The sequence below is a fragment of the Homo sapiens genome, chromosome 1 (genome assembly GCF_000001405.40).
Source record: "Homo sapiens chromosome 1, GRCh38.p14 Primary Assembly".
NCBI classification, from domain to species: domain Eukaryota; kingdom Metazoa; phylum Chordata; class Mammalia; order Primates; family Hominidae; genus Homo; species Homo sapiens.
In genome coordinates, this window is record NC_000001.11 from 52,292,380 (window position 1) to 52,309,957 (window position 17,578).

Here is a 17,578-nt window from a genome sequence, read left to right on the forward strand (position 1 = left end):
TTACCATAATTCATTATGTTCATGAGTTGACTTTGTTCACCCAGTGAAATTATAAGCTTGGTGACAGCAGCTTCCTAATCTGAACATTTCTTTTTTTTTTTTTTTTTTTTTTGAGACAGTGTCACTCTATCGCCTAGGCTGGAGCGCAGTGGCACAATCTTGGCTCACTGCAACCTCCGCCTCCCAGGTTCGAGCAATTCTCCTGCCTCAGCCTCCTGAGTAGCTGGGATTACAGGCGCACACCACTACGCCTGGCTAATTTTTGTATTTTTAGTAGAGATGGGGTTTTACCATGTTGGTCAGGCTGGTCTCGAACTCTGACCTTGTGATCCACCCACCTCGGCCTCCCAAAGTGCTGGGATTACAGGTGTGAGCCACCGCACCCGGCCTTGAACATTTCTTTATGACCTTTGAGGTGATAGTTCTTGAGACCTCTAAAGCAATTCATACAGTAAAGCTGTACAGTTTAACCAAGGAAGGCATCAATATTTTTGGCTTTTACTTAGACAAACTTCAACAATGTGATAATATAACTTAGTTTATGCTCATTAGAAGCCCTGATAAAATTGGAAACCAAATTTTCATTTAATAAATGCCATTTATTTAAAAATCAGCTTTTTAAATGTAAGTCTTTCATAGTGAAAGATTGGGAATTACTGTTTGGTAGTGTCCATCCAGCCCAGAGTTGCATAATGTTTATTAAAAATATGATTAATTGGCCGGGCGCTGTGGCTCATGCCTGTAATCCCAGCACTTTGGGAGGCTGAGGCAGGTGGATCATGAGGTCAGGAGATGGAGACCATCCTGGCTAACACGGTGAAACCCCGTCTCCACTAAAAATACAAAAAAGTTAGCCAGGTCTGGTGGCGGGCACCTGTAGTCCCACCTACTCAGGAGGCTGAGGCAGGAGAATGGGGTGAACCTGGGAGGCGGAGCTTGCAGTGAGCCAAGATTGCGCCACTGCACTCCAGCCTGGGCAACAGCCAGACTCCGTCTCAAAAAAAAAAAAAAAAAAAAAAGAAATATGATTAATTTATTGATACAAAGTAGCTAATAAACTTTTTTGTTTTTAGGGAATGTGGTGAGCAACTTGGGACATTCCTTCTTCAGTCAAAGTTTCCTTGGCAGTAAAGAACATGGTGGATTCTTATATGTGACATCTACCTACCAGTCACTGCAAGACCTAGTACTCCCAACCCCACCTTACTTGTTTGGGATTCTTATCCAGAAATGGGAAACTCCTTGGGCTAAAGTATTTCCTATCCGTCTGATGTTGAGACTTGGAGCTGAATATCGACGTAAGTAGTAAAAACACGTTTTTCAAGGCATGATGACTAAAATAATGCCTGAAATATTCAGAGCCCTCTGTTTGGTGATATAATTCAGCAGAAATAGTCTTTTGAAATAGCTAAACTAAATTTGGCCAGTGTCTGCGTGTATTGGGCATAATGGGAAGCACTGAAAATAACGAATGAGGAAGTTGATTATGTATTACCTTGTAAACTTACTGCTTTTATAGTTCATTGATAAAAAACACGATCATCTTTAGAAAAGTGAATTTGAACTTAAGTAACTTTATTTTTTATAGTTTCTGTATATGATGAGCATATTCTTTGTCACTTGGTTGGAAAACAGTTACGATCAATTATATTTTACTTAACATACTGGAAGCTAGTGGAATGGAAACCACTCTCAGTTGGTAAGATACAGGCTACAGAAGAAGGAGCTTCCTTGCTCATGGCTTTAGCAGCGTAACTAAGATGTGATTTTTAAAAAGACATTAATGGTTAAATGCAAACTTTATTTTAAATTTTATATCTCCATCTAATTAAAAGTGCCCTGTGCTAGGAATCCGACCACTTGAGTAAGATTCTCAACTCTGCCACTTATGAGCTCTGTAACTTTGGGCAAGTCACCCAAGTTCTCTGATTGTGTTTCTTTTGTAAACTGGAAATAATAATGCTTGCCTTCTATTTTATATTGGGTTGTTAACAGGATCAAATGAGAGAATAAATGAAACATAATTTTATAAACCATAAAACAGTTTATGTTCTCAGCAAGTCAACTTCATTCTTCCACCAATTATTTATTTATTCAGTAAGAATTTAATAAAGGCCTCCCATATATCCTGAATCCTGGGAATTCTGAAATAGCTAAGATGTGATTATAGGCTCTCGGGAACTTTTATAAGGAATACATACAGAAATAATGATTGTAGTGGTATCTTGTATTAAAACCTGTGCTCAAAGTTAAGTTCATTGGGAGCTCCAAGACAGGCTCTAACTTGACCAGACCAGGAATGAAGGAGTAGTTGGACCTTCAGTTTTCTTGGACCAGAGTGCCTCTGGATTAACTCTGAAGGAGGCATATGAATCAGCTAAATGAATCAGGGAAAGGGAAGGATTGTGTGCAAAAGAAGCAACATGTGTATCTTCCTATTTTATACAGGCATTTCAAACCATAAAATTCAAGAGATGAGCCAGACTGATTTGCCTCTCCTAAGGAGGATCCTGGTTAGGAGGTATAGAAGAATGAACTCTTGGCTGAGTGCGGTGGCTCATGCCTCTAATTCCAGCACTTTTGAGAGGTGGCCAAGGCAGGCAGATCATTTGAGGTCAAGAGTTCAAGACCAGCCTGGCCAACATGGTGAATCCCATCTCTACTAAAAATACAAAAAAATTAGCTGGGTATGGTGGCGCATGCCTGTAATTCCAGCTACTGGAGAGGCTGAGGCAGGAGAATCGCTTGAACCCTCCTAAGGCAGGAGATCATGCCACTGCACTCCAGCCTGGGTGACAGAGTGAGACTGTGTCTCAAAAAAAAAAGAGTGAACTCTTAAACTTGTTGGAAAAAGAAAAAGTGAACTCTTAAACTTATTGAGCACAGAGGAATCAGGAGATATTTATTTCCTGGATCGTATCAATTCAGTTTGAAGAAGATTGCTCCCTAAGACCTTGTGGGTTTGTTTGTTTGTTTGTTTGTTTGTTTGTTTGTTTTGGAGACAGGGTCTCATTCTGTCACCAAGGCTGGAGTGGGCTCCAGCCCACTCTGTCACCCATTCTGTCACCTGGGCTCAAGCCATCCTTCTACCTCTCAGCCTCCCAAGTAGATGGGACTACAGGTGCATGCTACCACACCCAGCTAATTTTTTTGTTTGTTTTTTTGTAGAGACAGGGTCTCCCTAGGTTGCACAGGCTGGTCTCAAACTCCTAGGCTCAGGTGATCCTTCTGCCTCAGCCTCCCAAAGTGCTGGGATTACAAGCATGAGCCACTATGCCTGGCTATTGTGTGTCATTTTTGAAACATTTACATCGAAAGGCTTATTCTGGTTATCAGAAGACTTAATATGGCTCAGCATTTGTCTGCTACCATGCCAAATACTTTTTGAGCCCAAAATTTGATATGTTCTAATGAGCCATTATAATTATATTTTGAAAATTGTATTAGTCATGAAATCTCTTTTACCAAAGTTTTATGTTGCCAAATTTAAGTTTGATCATTTCTCATTTCCATAGTTTATCCATGCCCACTATTCAGTGTCAGATTTCGGAAGCCATTGTTTGGAGAGACGGGGCATACCATCATGAATCTTCTTGCAGTAAGTTGGGAATTTTTTTTCCTTTGTCCTTACTGGAGTTTATATGGGAGAAGGAAGAAAGCAATTTTATTATTTTCTTGGTAGCTGTGCCCAAGCTGCTTAAGGCAGGTAAAGATATATGCTGAAGAAAAAGAACAGTATATGTATGTGTATATATATATATACACACACACACATATACATATATATTCATATGTATACACACACACACACACACATATATATATTCTTTTGCAAACATGAAGTGAAATGGTACAGGATTCCAGCGCCTGATTATACACTTACCGTCCAACCTTGCAGAATTATTGTGAGGACTAGAAGTAATACATAAATAAAACACCTAGCATTCTGTCTTGTTTTTATTTTAAGACTGGCATTCTATGAGTTTCTCTTGTGTCTATATAGGTTATTATCCAAGCAAAGATTGGTCAGAGATTGTACCCAGATACCCCAAGCCAGTAAGGCTACTGCCCTCTGCTGATGGATCTGAATATGGACTGGAATTTAAACTTCATTGTTTTCCTTTCTTCTGGGCTCTCTCATGTCTCCTACACACGTGCACAGGTTCTGACTCTGTTGGCCAAGATCATTGGTTGGCTTGAGTCCACTAAGTTCTCTGCTGCATATATGCACAGACTAGGATCAATCCTGGATATTTGGACCGTTTATGAAGCTCCCTATGGTTGTCTTACCTCCCAGAACTTGCCCCAAACAGGTTTGGTGAAATCAAGGTAATCAAGCTACTGGGCCTCCCTTTTTAATAACCACCGAGATTACCACTTTGACAATGTTCCATAGCAAGTAAACTCCTTCAAGTAGCAAAGCTCATTTTTTTGTTTGTTTTGTTTTATTTTGTTTGAGACAGAGTCTCTATCGCCCAAGTTGGAATGCAGTGGCACGATCTCAGCTCATTGCAACCTCCACCTCCGAGCAATTCTCGTGCCTGAGCCTCCTGAGCAGCTGTGACTATGGGAGCACACTACCACACCCAGCTAATTTTTGTATTTTTTGTAGAGAGAGCGTTTTGCTATGTTGGCCAGACTGATCTCAAACTCCTGGCCTCAATGATTCACCTGCCTCAGCCTCCCAAAGTGCTGGTATTACAGGCATGAGCCACTGCTCCCAGCTGCAAAGCTCATTGTTTTTACAAACTACCTTGCCCTGGTTGAACTACCTAACTACCTAATGGGGCTAGGGGGCAGCCCCAGGCAAGAAGGTCACAGACTCAATTCAAAGTTCAGTAGTTTTCATGAAAAAAACATTTCTTTTTTTTTTTTTTTTTGGAGATGGAGTCTCGCTCTGTTGTCCAGGCTGGAGTGCAGTGGCACAATCTTACTGCAACCTCTGCCTCCCAGGTTCAAGAGAGTCTCCTGCTTCAGCCTTCAGAGCAGCTGGGATTACAGGCACCTGCCACCACGCCTGGCTAATTTTTTGTATTTTTCATAGAGACAGGGTTTTACCTTGTTGGCCAGGCTGGTCTCAAACTCCTGACCTCAGGTGATCCACCCATCTCAACCTCCTAAAGTGCTGGGATTACAGGCATGAGCCACCATGCCCAGCCAAAACACTTCTTAATGTTAATATGCCTTTGATCTAATTCCAGAGCACTGAAATGGTTCTTTTTAAGCCACTTATACAGCTTTTCGGTTGCTTTTTGAGGAGTGGGTTTGGTGATTTCCTCCCTCTGTGATGCTTAAAAGCTATATTTCCAGTTATCTTTTTTTTTTTATTTCTTTAAAAAATTTTGTTTTGTTTTGTTTTTTGGGACAGAGTCTCGCACTGTCGCCTGGGCTGGAGTGCAGTGGCACGATCTCGGCTCACTGCAACCTCCATCTCCTGGGTTCAAGCAATTCTTGTGCCTCAGCCTCCCCAGTAGCTGGAATTACAGGCACGAAACACCATGCCCAGCTAGTTTTTGTATTTTTAGTAGAGGCGCATGTTGGCCAGGCTGGTCTCAAACTCATGACCTCGAGTGATCCACCCACCTCAGCCTCCCAAAGTGCCTTTTGCCTGTTTTTTAATTGGGTTGTCTTTTTGCTGCTAGGTTAAATTTGTTATATATTCTGGATATTAACTCCTTTTCAGATGTATGGTTTGCAGATATTTTCCATTTCTGTAGGTTGTGTCTTCACTCTGTTAATAGTTTCCTTTTCTGTGCAAAATCTTTTTAGTTTGATGTAATTCCATTTGTCTATTTTTGCTTTTATTGCCTGTGCTTTTGGGATCTTATCTAAAAATTCATTGCCTAGCCCAATATTGTGAAGCATTTGCCCTGTTTTCTTCTAATAGTTTCATAGTTTTGGGTTTAAATTTAAGTCTTTAATCCGTTTTTAGTTGATTTTTGTATATGGGGAGAGGTGGGGGTCTAGTTTCATTCTTCTGCATGTGGATATATCCACTTTTCCAAGTACTATTTATTGAAGAGAGTCCTTTCTGCAGTGTGTGTTCTTGGCACCTTTGTCGAAAATTAGTTGGCTGTAGGTGTCCAAATTCATTTCTGGGCCTTCTATTCTGTACTGTTGGAGTATGTGTTTGTTTTGGCCACTACTATGCTGTTTTGGTTATTATAGTTTTGTAGTATATTTGGTCAGGTAGTGTGATATCTCTAGCTTTGTTCTTTTTGCTCAGGACTGTTTTGGCCATTTGAGGCCTTTTGTGGTTTTATAAGAATATTAAGGTTTTGGTTTTTTTTTCTGTTTCTGTGAAGAATATCATTGGCATTTTGATAGAGATTGCATTAAATCTGTAGATACCTTTGGGTAGTATGGCTATTTTCACGGTATTAATTCTTCCAATCCATGAACATGGAATCAGTTTCCTTTGTCAATGTTTTTTTTTTTTTTTTTTTTTGAGACGGAGTCTTGCTCTGTTACCCAGGCTGGAGTGCAGTGGCGCAATTTCGGCTCACTGCAAGCTCCGCCTCCCGGGTTCACACCTTCTCCTGCCTCAGCCTGCCGAGTAGCTGGGACTACAGGTGCCCGCCACCACGCCTGGCCAATTTTTTGTACTTTTAGTAGAGACGGGGTTTCACTGTGTTAGCCAGGATGGTCTCGATCTCCTGACCTCATGATCCGCCCGCCTCTGCCTCCTAAAGTGCTGGGATTACAGGCGTGAGCCACCTTGCCCGGCCCTTTTTCAATGTTTTAGAGGTTTCTTTGTAAAGATCTTTTACCTCTTAACTAAGTGTATTCCTAGGTATCTTATTTTTTTTATAGCTACTGTAAATGGAATTGTTTTCTTTATTTTTTATTAGCGTATAGAAACACTACTGATTTTACATGCTGATTTTGTATCCTACAACTTTACCGAATTTGTTCATTAGCTCTAACAGGTTTTTGGTGGCATCTTTAGGGTTTTCTATGTATAGGGTCATGTCATTTGCAAACAAGCACAATTTGACTTTCCAGTTTGGATGCCTTTTATTTCTTTCTCTTGCCTAAGTGCTCTGGCTAGGACTATGTTGAATAGAAAGGATTAAAATGGGCATCCATGTCTTGTTCCTGTTCTTTGAGGAAAAGATTTCCACTGTTCCCATTCAGTATGATGTTAGCTGTGGGTTTGTCACATATGGCCTTTATTGTGCTGGGCTGCTTGTCCAGCTGGGCACAGCAGGCCAGCCAGCTGTGTGTTGGTTTCTCCACTGTACAGGTCTGTCTGTTCCCTGGGGCAGGGAGGTGCCATGTGAGTTCAGTGCCAGGGCTCCCTCATTCTGTTGGGCCTAGGCTCTCAGCAGCTGGATGATGGTGATACAGCTACATGTGTGTGTTGTGGACTGACAGTGGAGCTTCAGAGATGGAGAGATGCAGTGGCAATTGGCCCCCAGGCAGGATGAACTCTAGCAGTGGGTCCAGTTTCAAGATGGCACCATGCTATGACTGGGAATGAGGGCTGTATGACATGGGCTCCAACTCTGGAGCAGTGTAGTCCTGTGAACTGCAGGCAACTACAAACTGGATTCAGGGTTTGTGAGGACCGCGGGACGAGGCTGCAGTGGTCATGGGGACCATGGGTCCCCAGCTTACCCTTTCCCCATTAGAAGTAGTCCTTCCTGACTCCAGGCCACTCCTTGCAGGGAGGCAGTGCGGCAGAGGCAGAGTGCTTCGCTCCCGTCTCTGTGGTGCTATCTGGGGCATCTGGTGCTCCACAGGAATTTCAGCACTCCCCTGGTGCTCTCCAGCATACTTCCACAGCCACTCCAGTTGAAATATAGTTTGTTTATTGTTGTTTTGGTCCCTTTTGTTGAGTAGAGGGGAGCAAGAGCCAGACAACTCCAGTCAACCATCTTGCTGATGTCACTGTCGTTTAGAGAGAACAATAAGAAAAAAAAGTCTTGGCTGGGCGTAGTGGCTCATGCCTGTAATCTCAGTACTTTGGGAGGCCAAGGCAGGCGGATCACGATGTCAGGAGTTTGAGACCAGCCTGGCTGATATGGTGTAACCCCGTCTCTACTAAAACTACAAAACTTAGCTGGGCATGGTGGCACATGCCTGTAAATGCCAGCTACTCAGGAGGCTGAGCCAGGAGAATCTTTTGAACCTGGGAGGCAGAGGTTGCAGTGAGCCAAGATCGTGCCACTGCATTCCAGCCTGGGCGACAGAGTAAGACTCAGTTTCAAAAGAAAAAGAAAAAAAATCTTGTAGATTTACCCATCTAGTTGCCATTTCCAGTGTTTTTCATTCCTTTGTATAACTCTGTATTTTCATCTGGTGTCATTTTCCTTCTGCCAAAATGATTGCCTGTAATATTTCTTACAGTGTAGGTTTGCTGCTGATGAATTATTTTAGCTTTTGTATTTCTAACAACATCTTTATTTGATCTTCATATTTGGAAGATACTTTTGGTGGTTGGAGAAGTCTAGGTTGAGTTTTGTTGTTTAGGTTTTTTGGTTTTTTTTTTTTTTGAGACAGAGTCTCACTCTTTCACCCAGGTTGTAGTGCAGTGGCACAATCTCGGCTCACTGCAACTTCCACCTCCCGGGCTCAAGCAATGCTCCCACCTCAGCCTCCCGAGTAGCTGGGATTACAGGCATGCACCACCATGCCCAGCTAATTTTTGTATTTTTAGTAGAGACAGGGTTTCACTATGTTGCTCAGGCTGGTCTTGAACTCCTGACCTCAAGGGATCCTCCTGCCCTGGCCTACCAAAGTGCTGGGATTACAGGTGTGAGCCACCATGCTCAGCCCGAGTTTTCTTCTTTGAGTGTTTTTGAGATGTTGCTCCACTGTCTTCTGCTTTGCATTGTTTTCCCTCTCATCTTTGTTCCTCTCTACATAACAATTTTTTCTTTTCTTAACGTTGTTTTTCTTTTTCCATCTTTTTTTTTTTTTTTTTTTTTTTTTTTGGAAATAGGGTCTCACTCTGTTGCCCAGGCTGGAGTGCAGTGGCACAATCACGGCTCACTGCACCCTTGACCCACAGGGCTCAGGTGATCCCCCCGACCTTGGCCTACCAAGTAGCTGGGACTACAGGTACGTGCCGCTATGCCCAGCTAATTTTGTTTATTTTTTATACAGACAAGGCCTCGCAGTGTTTCTCAGACTGGTCTCCAACTCCTGGGCTCAAGCTATCCTTCCACCTCAGCCTCCCAAAGTATTGGGATTACATGCATGAGCCACTGTGCCTGACCTTCTCTGGCTAGTTTCAAAAGCTTTTTAAAATTACAAGTTTGAAGCAAATTGATTATAATGTGCCATAGTGTAGTTTTCATGTTTCCCGTACTTGGGGTTCATTGAGCTTTTTGAATCTATGGGTTTATAGTTTTCATCTGATATTTTTTCTGTTCATCCCCTTCTCTCCCTGAAGGAGATTACTCCAATTACATATATATCAGGCTGCTTGAAATTGTTTCACGTCTTACTAATGTTCTTTTTATTTCTTTTTCAGTCTTTTTTGTCTCTTGTTTTCATTTAGGATGAATTTTATTGCTGTGCTCTCAATTTCACTAATCTTTTATTTTGGTTTAAGCTGCTGTTAATTCTATCAATCTTTTAAACAATCTCAATCAAATACTTTGATTTTCATCTCTTGAAGTTATACTTGGGTCTTTTAAGATCTTTTATGTCTCTGCTTAACATTTTGTACATGTAGAATACAATATAATAACTATTGTAATGCCTTTAGTAATTCTAACTTCTTGTATAAGTTCTGGCTCCGTTTCCATGGATTGATTTTTTTTCCTTTATTTTGAGTTGTATTTTCCTGCTTCTTTGAATGTTTGGTATTTTTTTATTGGTTGCCAGACATTCTGATTTTACCAGTTGGGTGCTGGTTATCAATATTCTTGAGCTTTTTTTGCAAGTAATGAAGTCAAGTTACTTAGAAAAACCCTCCATCTCACATCATATTCTACATTTCAGTAAATGGCAGTTCCAGTCTTCTAGTAGCCCTGGCTATAAAATTTAGAATCATCTTTAACTTTTATCATTTGTTCACATTCCACATCCACAGTGGCAAATATTATCAGATTTTCCTTTAAAATATGTCTGGAAACAGGCTGGGCGCAGTGGCTCACACTTGTAATCCCAGCATTTTGGGAGGCCAAGGTGGGCGGATCAGCTGAGGTCAGGAGTTTGAGACCAGCCTGGCCAACATGGCAAAACCCCATCTCTACTAAAAATACAAAAATTATCTGGGCCTGGTGGTGCATTCCTGTAATCCCAGCTACTTGGGAGGCTGAGGCAGTAGAATTGCTTGAACCTGGGAGGCAGAGGATTCAGTGAGCCAAGATTGCGCCACTGCACTCCAGCCTGGTTAACAGAGCGAGACTCTGTCTCAGGAAAAAAAAAAAAATCTGTATCTATATATCTAGAAACTGACAACTTCTCATCACTTTTTAAACTGTTAACATCCTGGCCAGGTGCAGTGGCTCACGACTGTAATTGTAGCACTTTGAGAGACCGAGGCAGGTGGATCACCTGAGGTTGGGAGTTCAAGACCAGTCTGGCCAACATGGTGAAACCTTGTCTCTACTAAAAATACAAAAATTAGCCGAGCATGGTGACGCACATATGTAATCCCAGCTACTTGGGAAGCTGAGGCATGAGACTCGCTTGAACCCTGGAGGCGGAGGTTGTACTGAGCCAAGATGGCACCACTGCACTCCAGCTCGGGCAACAGAGTGAGACTCCATCTCAGAATAAATAAATAAACTGTTAACATCCTGGTCTAAGCTCTCACTATCTCCTACCTTGATTGTTTTTATGGTATTTATCTGATCTTTTCTTCCATTCTTCCTCCCTTACCACCTATTCATTACCAAGGAGTCAGATCTGTTAAAACAGGTCAAAAGCCTCCTAAAGGCAAAAGTCCTCACGGTGACCTATAAGAACCTATGAAATCTAGCCATTTGCTATTACTTTGACCTTGAGTCCACCACTCTTGTTCATTTTGTTTCACCCATACTGGATAGATGATGTGTTAGTGTGTGTGTGTGTTTCCTTACAGATATTCATTGAGTGCCTAAGATGTTCCAGGCGTTAAGGATATAGCAAGAACAACACAACTGAGAGTTTGTACTCTCTTGGAGCTTCAGAGGGAGGAGACAGATAGTTAACAAATAAATACAGAAAATGTTAAGTGGTGGTAAAGCAGGGTAGACATTCAAAAATATTTTTTAATGTTGTGTATAAGAGGTATATGATAATGTTTGGTTTACTTATAAGAGTTTAAAGACTAAAGAGCTAAAATACATATAGTGGGGCTTTCATTATACATTTCCTTATTATTTAAATAAATAGGATCTTTCAATATTGACATTTTTTCCATTCGTGTTAATTTTATTACTATAAATTAAACCCTACCATTGATGAATTAATTTATTCTGCTTCAATCTGCTTTGGCCCAGGACTTCAGAAATTACCAGTATACCTTGCCAGTAGTTCAAGGTTTGGTGGTTGATATGGAAGTTCGGAAAACTAGCATCAAAATTCCCAGCAACAGATACAATGAGGTAAGATTTACCATGAAGGCGTATTTTTCATAGTTGAAAACATGAGTGAAGGTGAAAAATGCATGATTATATATAAATTTTACTTATAATTAATTAACAATGAAATCAGTTAATAATATTGTATGGCTTAGTTCAATTATGGGGAATTTCATTACAGGAAGACAAGATGTCAAATTTCTGACCTAGTGGTTCATTGGATGTGTCATTTTACCTTTTGATGTTATGATAATTAGTATTAGATTTGCATTTTGATTAGGTCATGAAATTAGCCTTGTATCTGTAATATTAGTGGTGAGATTTTTAAAATGTCCCCACTCCTACTATAAATATTTATTTATTTATTTATTTATTTTTTGAGATGGAGTCTCACTGTGTCGCCCAGGCTGGAGTGCAATGGTGTGATCTCAGCTCACTGCAACCTCTGCCTCCTGGGTTCAAGTGATTCTTCTGCCTCAGCCTCCCAAGTAGCTGGGATTACAGGCACCCGCCACCATGCCTGGCTAATTTTTGTATTTTTAGTAGAGACGAGGTTTCACCATGTTAGCCAGACTGGTCTCAAACTCTTAATCTCAGGTGATCCACCCACCTCGGCCTCCCAAAGTGCTGGGATTACAGGCACGAGCCACTGTGCCCAGCCGGGTTTCTTTGTATAAAATAATTTTTCCTTCCTTTTTCCTTTTTTTTTCCTTTTTCATTTCATTTTTTCTTCATTTAGCCACTAAATCATTTATGCGTTGAATAAACATTATGTACTTGGTATGCACGTAGAATCACACAGATGTTTTATTGGATTTGTGAGCTCAGTTCTCAGCATTATTATGAGAATGACCTCTGTGAAGAAAGCTTTTAGCCATGACTTTCCACGTGATTTTTTTTTTTTTAAGGATATTAGAAAATAGTAGCTAGAATGTGTGCTTACTTTTTTCTGGGATACAACTAGCAGTCTTCAGCATTTAGATAATCCTGCCTTGGAGTATCAAGGAGTAATCGATGAGACTAGGTAGAGTCAAATCTTTAAAGTGAACTATTTGTAGTTCACAGATCTTGCTCTGTTGCCCAGGCTGGAGTGCAGTAATGCAATCTTTCATGGCCTAAAGAATTTTAAAAGAGATTGTGCTTTGAAAACCTATTTTATTTCTCAAATTTGAAATATTATTGTCTATTTCACAAACATGTATTAAATATATTCTGTGATTTGAAATATAAAGATGAGATAAGAACATTAGGCCTGCTGGCCAAGCGCGATGGCTCACACTTGTAATCCCAGCACTTTGGGAGGCCAAGGCAGGTGGATCACCTGACGTCAGGAGTTTGAGACCAGCCTGGCCAACGTGGTGAAACCCCGTCTCTACTAAAAATACAAACATTGGCTGGGTGCCTGTAATGCCAGCTACTCGGGAGGCTGAGGCAGGAGAATTGCTTGAACATGGGAGGCAGAGGTTGCAGTGAGCTGAGATCTCACCATTGGACTCCAGCCTGGGCGACAAGAGCAAAACTCTGTCTCAAAAAAACAAACAAACAAAAACCTTATGCCTGCTTTCGGAGCGTTTGCTGTCCAGGAAAATGATGGCATCAGTGGCCTGTCTGGAGTGGCTGCTGCCATCATGCTGGCTGCAGCAGGGTGGTGCTGCCAGGGCTGCATACTCCGTGGAGCCTGTAGGAGCCGGGGACAAGTGGGAGCCCCACCCCTTCCGAGTTGGTGGGGTGGGCCTCCCAAGGTGCAGCTGCCCAAGTTATGGCTGCAGACCTGGGCCTTCTGCTCCATGGAGCAGGCAGGAGCTCCCCCCTTGCAGGCACAGCTGTAGCTACCCGAGTTGTGGCTACGGACCCAGGCATCCTCGTGCTTGGGAAGGCCCCCCTCCCTTACAGCCCTGGAAATGCCTGCTCCTACTGCCTGGCTTTTCCCTGCTGTCAGCACCCACTCCAATCTCAGAGCAAAGTCGGGGCAGTGCTGACACACCAGTGCCCTGCCGCCTTGGCCCCCTCTGGACTTTGGGCACTGACAAACATAGGAAGTAAGCTGATGGGGGATGTGTGCAGCTCAATGCTGGCCTGCAGACACCCCATGGAACCTACAGCTTGGGCACCATGAATAGCAGGAGGCAAACACGTTCCTGAGCAGAAGAGGCCAGGTCCCCGATGAGGTTCCACCTTCAGGCTAGGAAGGGCCTGAAGGCTGGGGGGCCAGGCCACCAGTCCCATGGACTGTAGTGGGAACTTGGGGTGCCTTTTCTCAGCCTGCCCATGGCTGTCCATGCACCAGTCGGTGCATGCTTCCCCTCCTCTGAGGCCTGTAAAAGCCCTGGGATCAGCTAGAGCTGAGCAGACATCGGGATGACCAGCTGCAGAGAGGAGCTGCCCACTCCAGGGTCTCCTCTCTGCTGAGACCTGCAGACGCTGAGATGACCAGCTGTAGAGAGGAGCTGCTCACTCCAGGGCCGCCTCTCTGCTGAGAGCTGAATACTCGATTTGACAACCTGCCTGTAGAGAGGAGCCACCCACCCCAGGCCCTCCTCTATTACGTCACTCATAAAGCTCCTCTTCACTTTGCTCACCCTCCACTTGTCTGCATACCTCATTCTTCCTGGATGCAGGACAAGAACTCGGGACCTGCCAAATGGCAGGGCTGAAAGAGCTGTGACACAAACAAGGCTGAAACATGCCCCTTGCTTGCCACATTGCAAGTGAAGAGAAGGAGAGAAGAGCTGCAGCCCTTTGGGGAACCCAAGCTTGGGAGCTCCCTGAGCCAGGGCTGTGACTCCCTCTTTGGGGCCCTGTGGTTACTGAAGTCTCCAAGCTTCCGAATGTCACCACATTCCCTGGTGGCAGCTGTGGAAGCTGCTTGCGGTGCACCTGGTCCAGCTGCAGCCTGGCAGAGAGCCAGGGCCTGTGCAGGCACCTGGAGCTACCTGCCTCACTGCAGCAGCCAGCATGCCTGACTGTGTGCAGTGGCCGGAACCCACGCTTGCTTTCTCACACACCCCTTGCTGCTCCATGCCTGGCTCACCCTTGACAGACATGGGATCCAGGCTGGTAGTGTAAGCCTAGCACAGCCTGCCAGGCTGAGTGGCCGGAACAAGCCCAGCAGGCCTGAGCAAAACTCAGGCAAAGGCACCACTGGCCACAGAGCTTTCCAGCCAGAAAAGCAACACACCAAGGATCCTGTAACAGTTAGATGATCAGATGTCATTCCCAAGCAAATAACATATTGCTATCCTTGATGTTTGCGAGGTAGTGCTGTGTGTTTAGAAATTTTGTTTGTACAAGTATATCTGTAAAAGCTGAGGCGCTCATAGTTATTTCTTTTTTTTTGTTTTGTTTTGTTTTTGAGACAGAGTCCTGCTCTGTCACCCAGGCTGGAGTGCAGTGGCACAATCTTGGCTCACTGCAACCTACGCCTCCAGGATTCAAGCAATTCTCCTACCTGAGCCTCCTGAGTAGCTGGGACTACAGGCATACACCACCATACCCAGCCAAAATTTTGTATTTTTAATAGAGACAGGATTTCACCCTGTTGGCCAGGCTGGTCTCAAACTCCTAACTGCAGGTCTTCTACCCACCTTGGCCTCCCAAAGTGCTAGAATTACAGGTGTGTGCCACTGCGTTCAGCCCCCATAGTTACTTCAGTACTGACTGGACACTTTCACAACAATAGCTCCTATTCATATAACCTGTTTTTATCTGAACTCTGTTGCCTCCGTTTATGGTGTGCAGGTTCAGAATCCTTTGTTCTAAAAGAGTAACAGTATTTCTTGTCATTTATTTTATGGATTATGTATCAGGTCTTTTTCTTACCTGATTAGCAAACTGAATTTTCTTTTTTCTTCTTTTTTTTTTTTTTTCTGATACGGAGTCTTGCTCCGCCACCCAGGCTGGAGTGCAGTGGAGCGATCTCGGCTCACTGCAAGCTCCGCCTCCCGGGTTCACGCCATTCTCTTGCCTCAGCCTCCCGAGTAGCTGGGACTACAGGTGTCCGCTACCACGCCCGGCTAATTTTTTTGTATTTTTAGTAGATACGGGGTTTCACCGTGTTAGCCAGGATGGTCTCGATCTCCTGACCTCGTGATCCACCCACCTTGGCCTCCCAAAGTGCTGGGATTACAGGCGTGAGCCACTGTGCCCGGCCACAAACAATTTTCCTTCTGATTTAATTTTTATTTTAACTCAACATAATTTTATCTCCTACAATCTCATACAGTTAAATTGTGTTGTGTCTAATAATTCCACTTCATAGTTGAAAAAGTAATTTCTTTTTTCTTTTCTTTTCTTTTTGGAAACAGGGTCTTATTGTGTCACCAAGGCTAGAGTGCAGTGGCACAATCATGGATCACTGCAGTCTCAACTTCCTGGGCTCAAGTGATCCTCCCACTTCAGCCTCCTAAGTAGCTGGGACTACAGGCGTGTACCATCACACCCAGCTAATTTTTGTATTTTTTTGTTTTGTAGAGAGAGGATTTCTCCATGTTGTCTAGGCTGATCCTGAACTCCTGGGCTTAAGTGATACTCCCATCTTGGCTTCCCTAAGTGCTGGAATTACAGGCATCACTACACCCGGCCATAATTTTCTTGTACATTTTATTTAATCACAATATTCTTCTTTTCCTCTCATTCATTTTTTCCATTTATACTCATAGTCTTTCTTATTATTGCCCATATTTTGTGCTCTTTTGTTCATGGCTTTTGCAGAGCTGGTTCCTTATTGATTCATACTTCCCCTACTCTTCACCTGCCTAACCCCCACTCATTATTCAGGTGTCACTGTAAATGACATTTTTTTCACATATACTTTGATTTAACTCCCAACTGGGGTAACTCTATTATATGCATTCCTAGAATTCTATGCATACTATTTGTAATAATCAGTACATTTGTAATTCCTTGTTGTGTGTCTGTTTTCTCTGCTGTGAGTTCCATGAGGGACTATGTCTATCTTGTATACCACAGGTATCATCAGCAAACACCCTAGTACGGAGTGGGTTAGCAAGAAATATCTGTTGGATGAAGACATGAAACAGATCTAATATAGATAAAACAATATGAAAACAAATGGTGAAATTTATTGCAAGTATACTAAAGGTACAGAGAAAGTAGATCTCTAGAGGATGAATAGAATAGACACCAATGTTTCTTAATTTCTTATTGACCCTGAATCCCTAACAGAGCAACACATTGCATGTAGGAGATGTTCGTAAATGTTCACCAAATAACTAGATGAATGAAAGATTTGAAATGGATAATGAATGATAACTAGGCACTAGAAAGAGAAGGGCAGACGGCATGGTGACTCACGCTTGTAATCCCAGTACTTTGGGAGGCCAAGGTGGGCAGATTGCTTGAGCCTAGGATTTAAAGATCAGCCTGGGCAACATGGCAAGACCCCATTTCTACAAAAAATACAAAAAATTAGCTGGGCATGGTGGCGCATGCCCCGTAGTCCCAGCTACTTGGGAGGCTGAGGTGGGAGGATCACCTGAGCCCAGGAAGTCGAGACTGCAGTGAGCTGAGATTTCTCCACTGCACTCCAGCCTGGGTGACAGAGTGAGACCCTGTCTCAAAAACAAAAACAAAAGCAAAAAAGGGCAGAAAAGACCTTAAGTGAAAAGGGGGATAGATACCTGCCTACACAAAGGAAGGGAAGGAGCATAGCTCATAGGGAAATGGGAGACAACAAAGTGCCTAGCAAAGAGGGGGTTAAAGCAGACTGATGGCTTTGTGGGATGTGAGGTTGTACTAAGACTGCTGGCTTCAAAATCCACTCAGAGGAATTTAGATTTTAATATGATAATTTATAAAGAGCTTTTATAGGTTCTTAAGCAGAAAAAGTGACTTAATGAAAGCAGGATTTTGGAAAACTGAGTTTGGTGGCTATATGGAAAATGAGGAGGGAGGGAGGGACTAAGGAAAGACTTTAAGCTTAGAAAGCTAGAAGATAGTACTTCTGACGGCATGGAAATTTTAATAAGCATTGTATATAAAATTTCTAATCTCTTTTGTCAAGGCCATTAAAGATCCTTGTTGGTTAAGGTCACCTG

At 42.9% G+C, this 17,578-nt stretch overlaps 1 protein-coding gene across 5 annotated transcripts in view; it reads left to right on the forward strand.

Moving 5' to 3' along the window:
- Positions 1-17,578, forward strand: part of ZFYVE9 (zinc finger FYVE-type containing 9) — a 204,546-nt gene that overhangs the window by 150,291 nt on the left and 36,677 nt on the right. For 4 of the 5 annotated variants that reach the window (NM_004799.4, NM_007324.5, XM_047434674.1 and 1 more), the window contains 3 exons: positions 1,074-1,298; positions 3,516-3,598; positions 11,442-11,546. In NM_004799.4, the coding sequence (NP_004790.2) occupies positions 1,074-1,298; positions 3,516-3,598; positions 11,442-11,546 (413 nt within the window). Of the gene's footprint in view, positions 1-1,073; positions 1,299-3,515; positions 3,599-11,441; positions 11,547-16,490; positions 16,830-17,578 lie in introns of those variants that run through there. The other variant, XM_047434682.1, reaches the window with a different exon arrangement.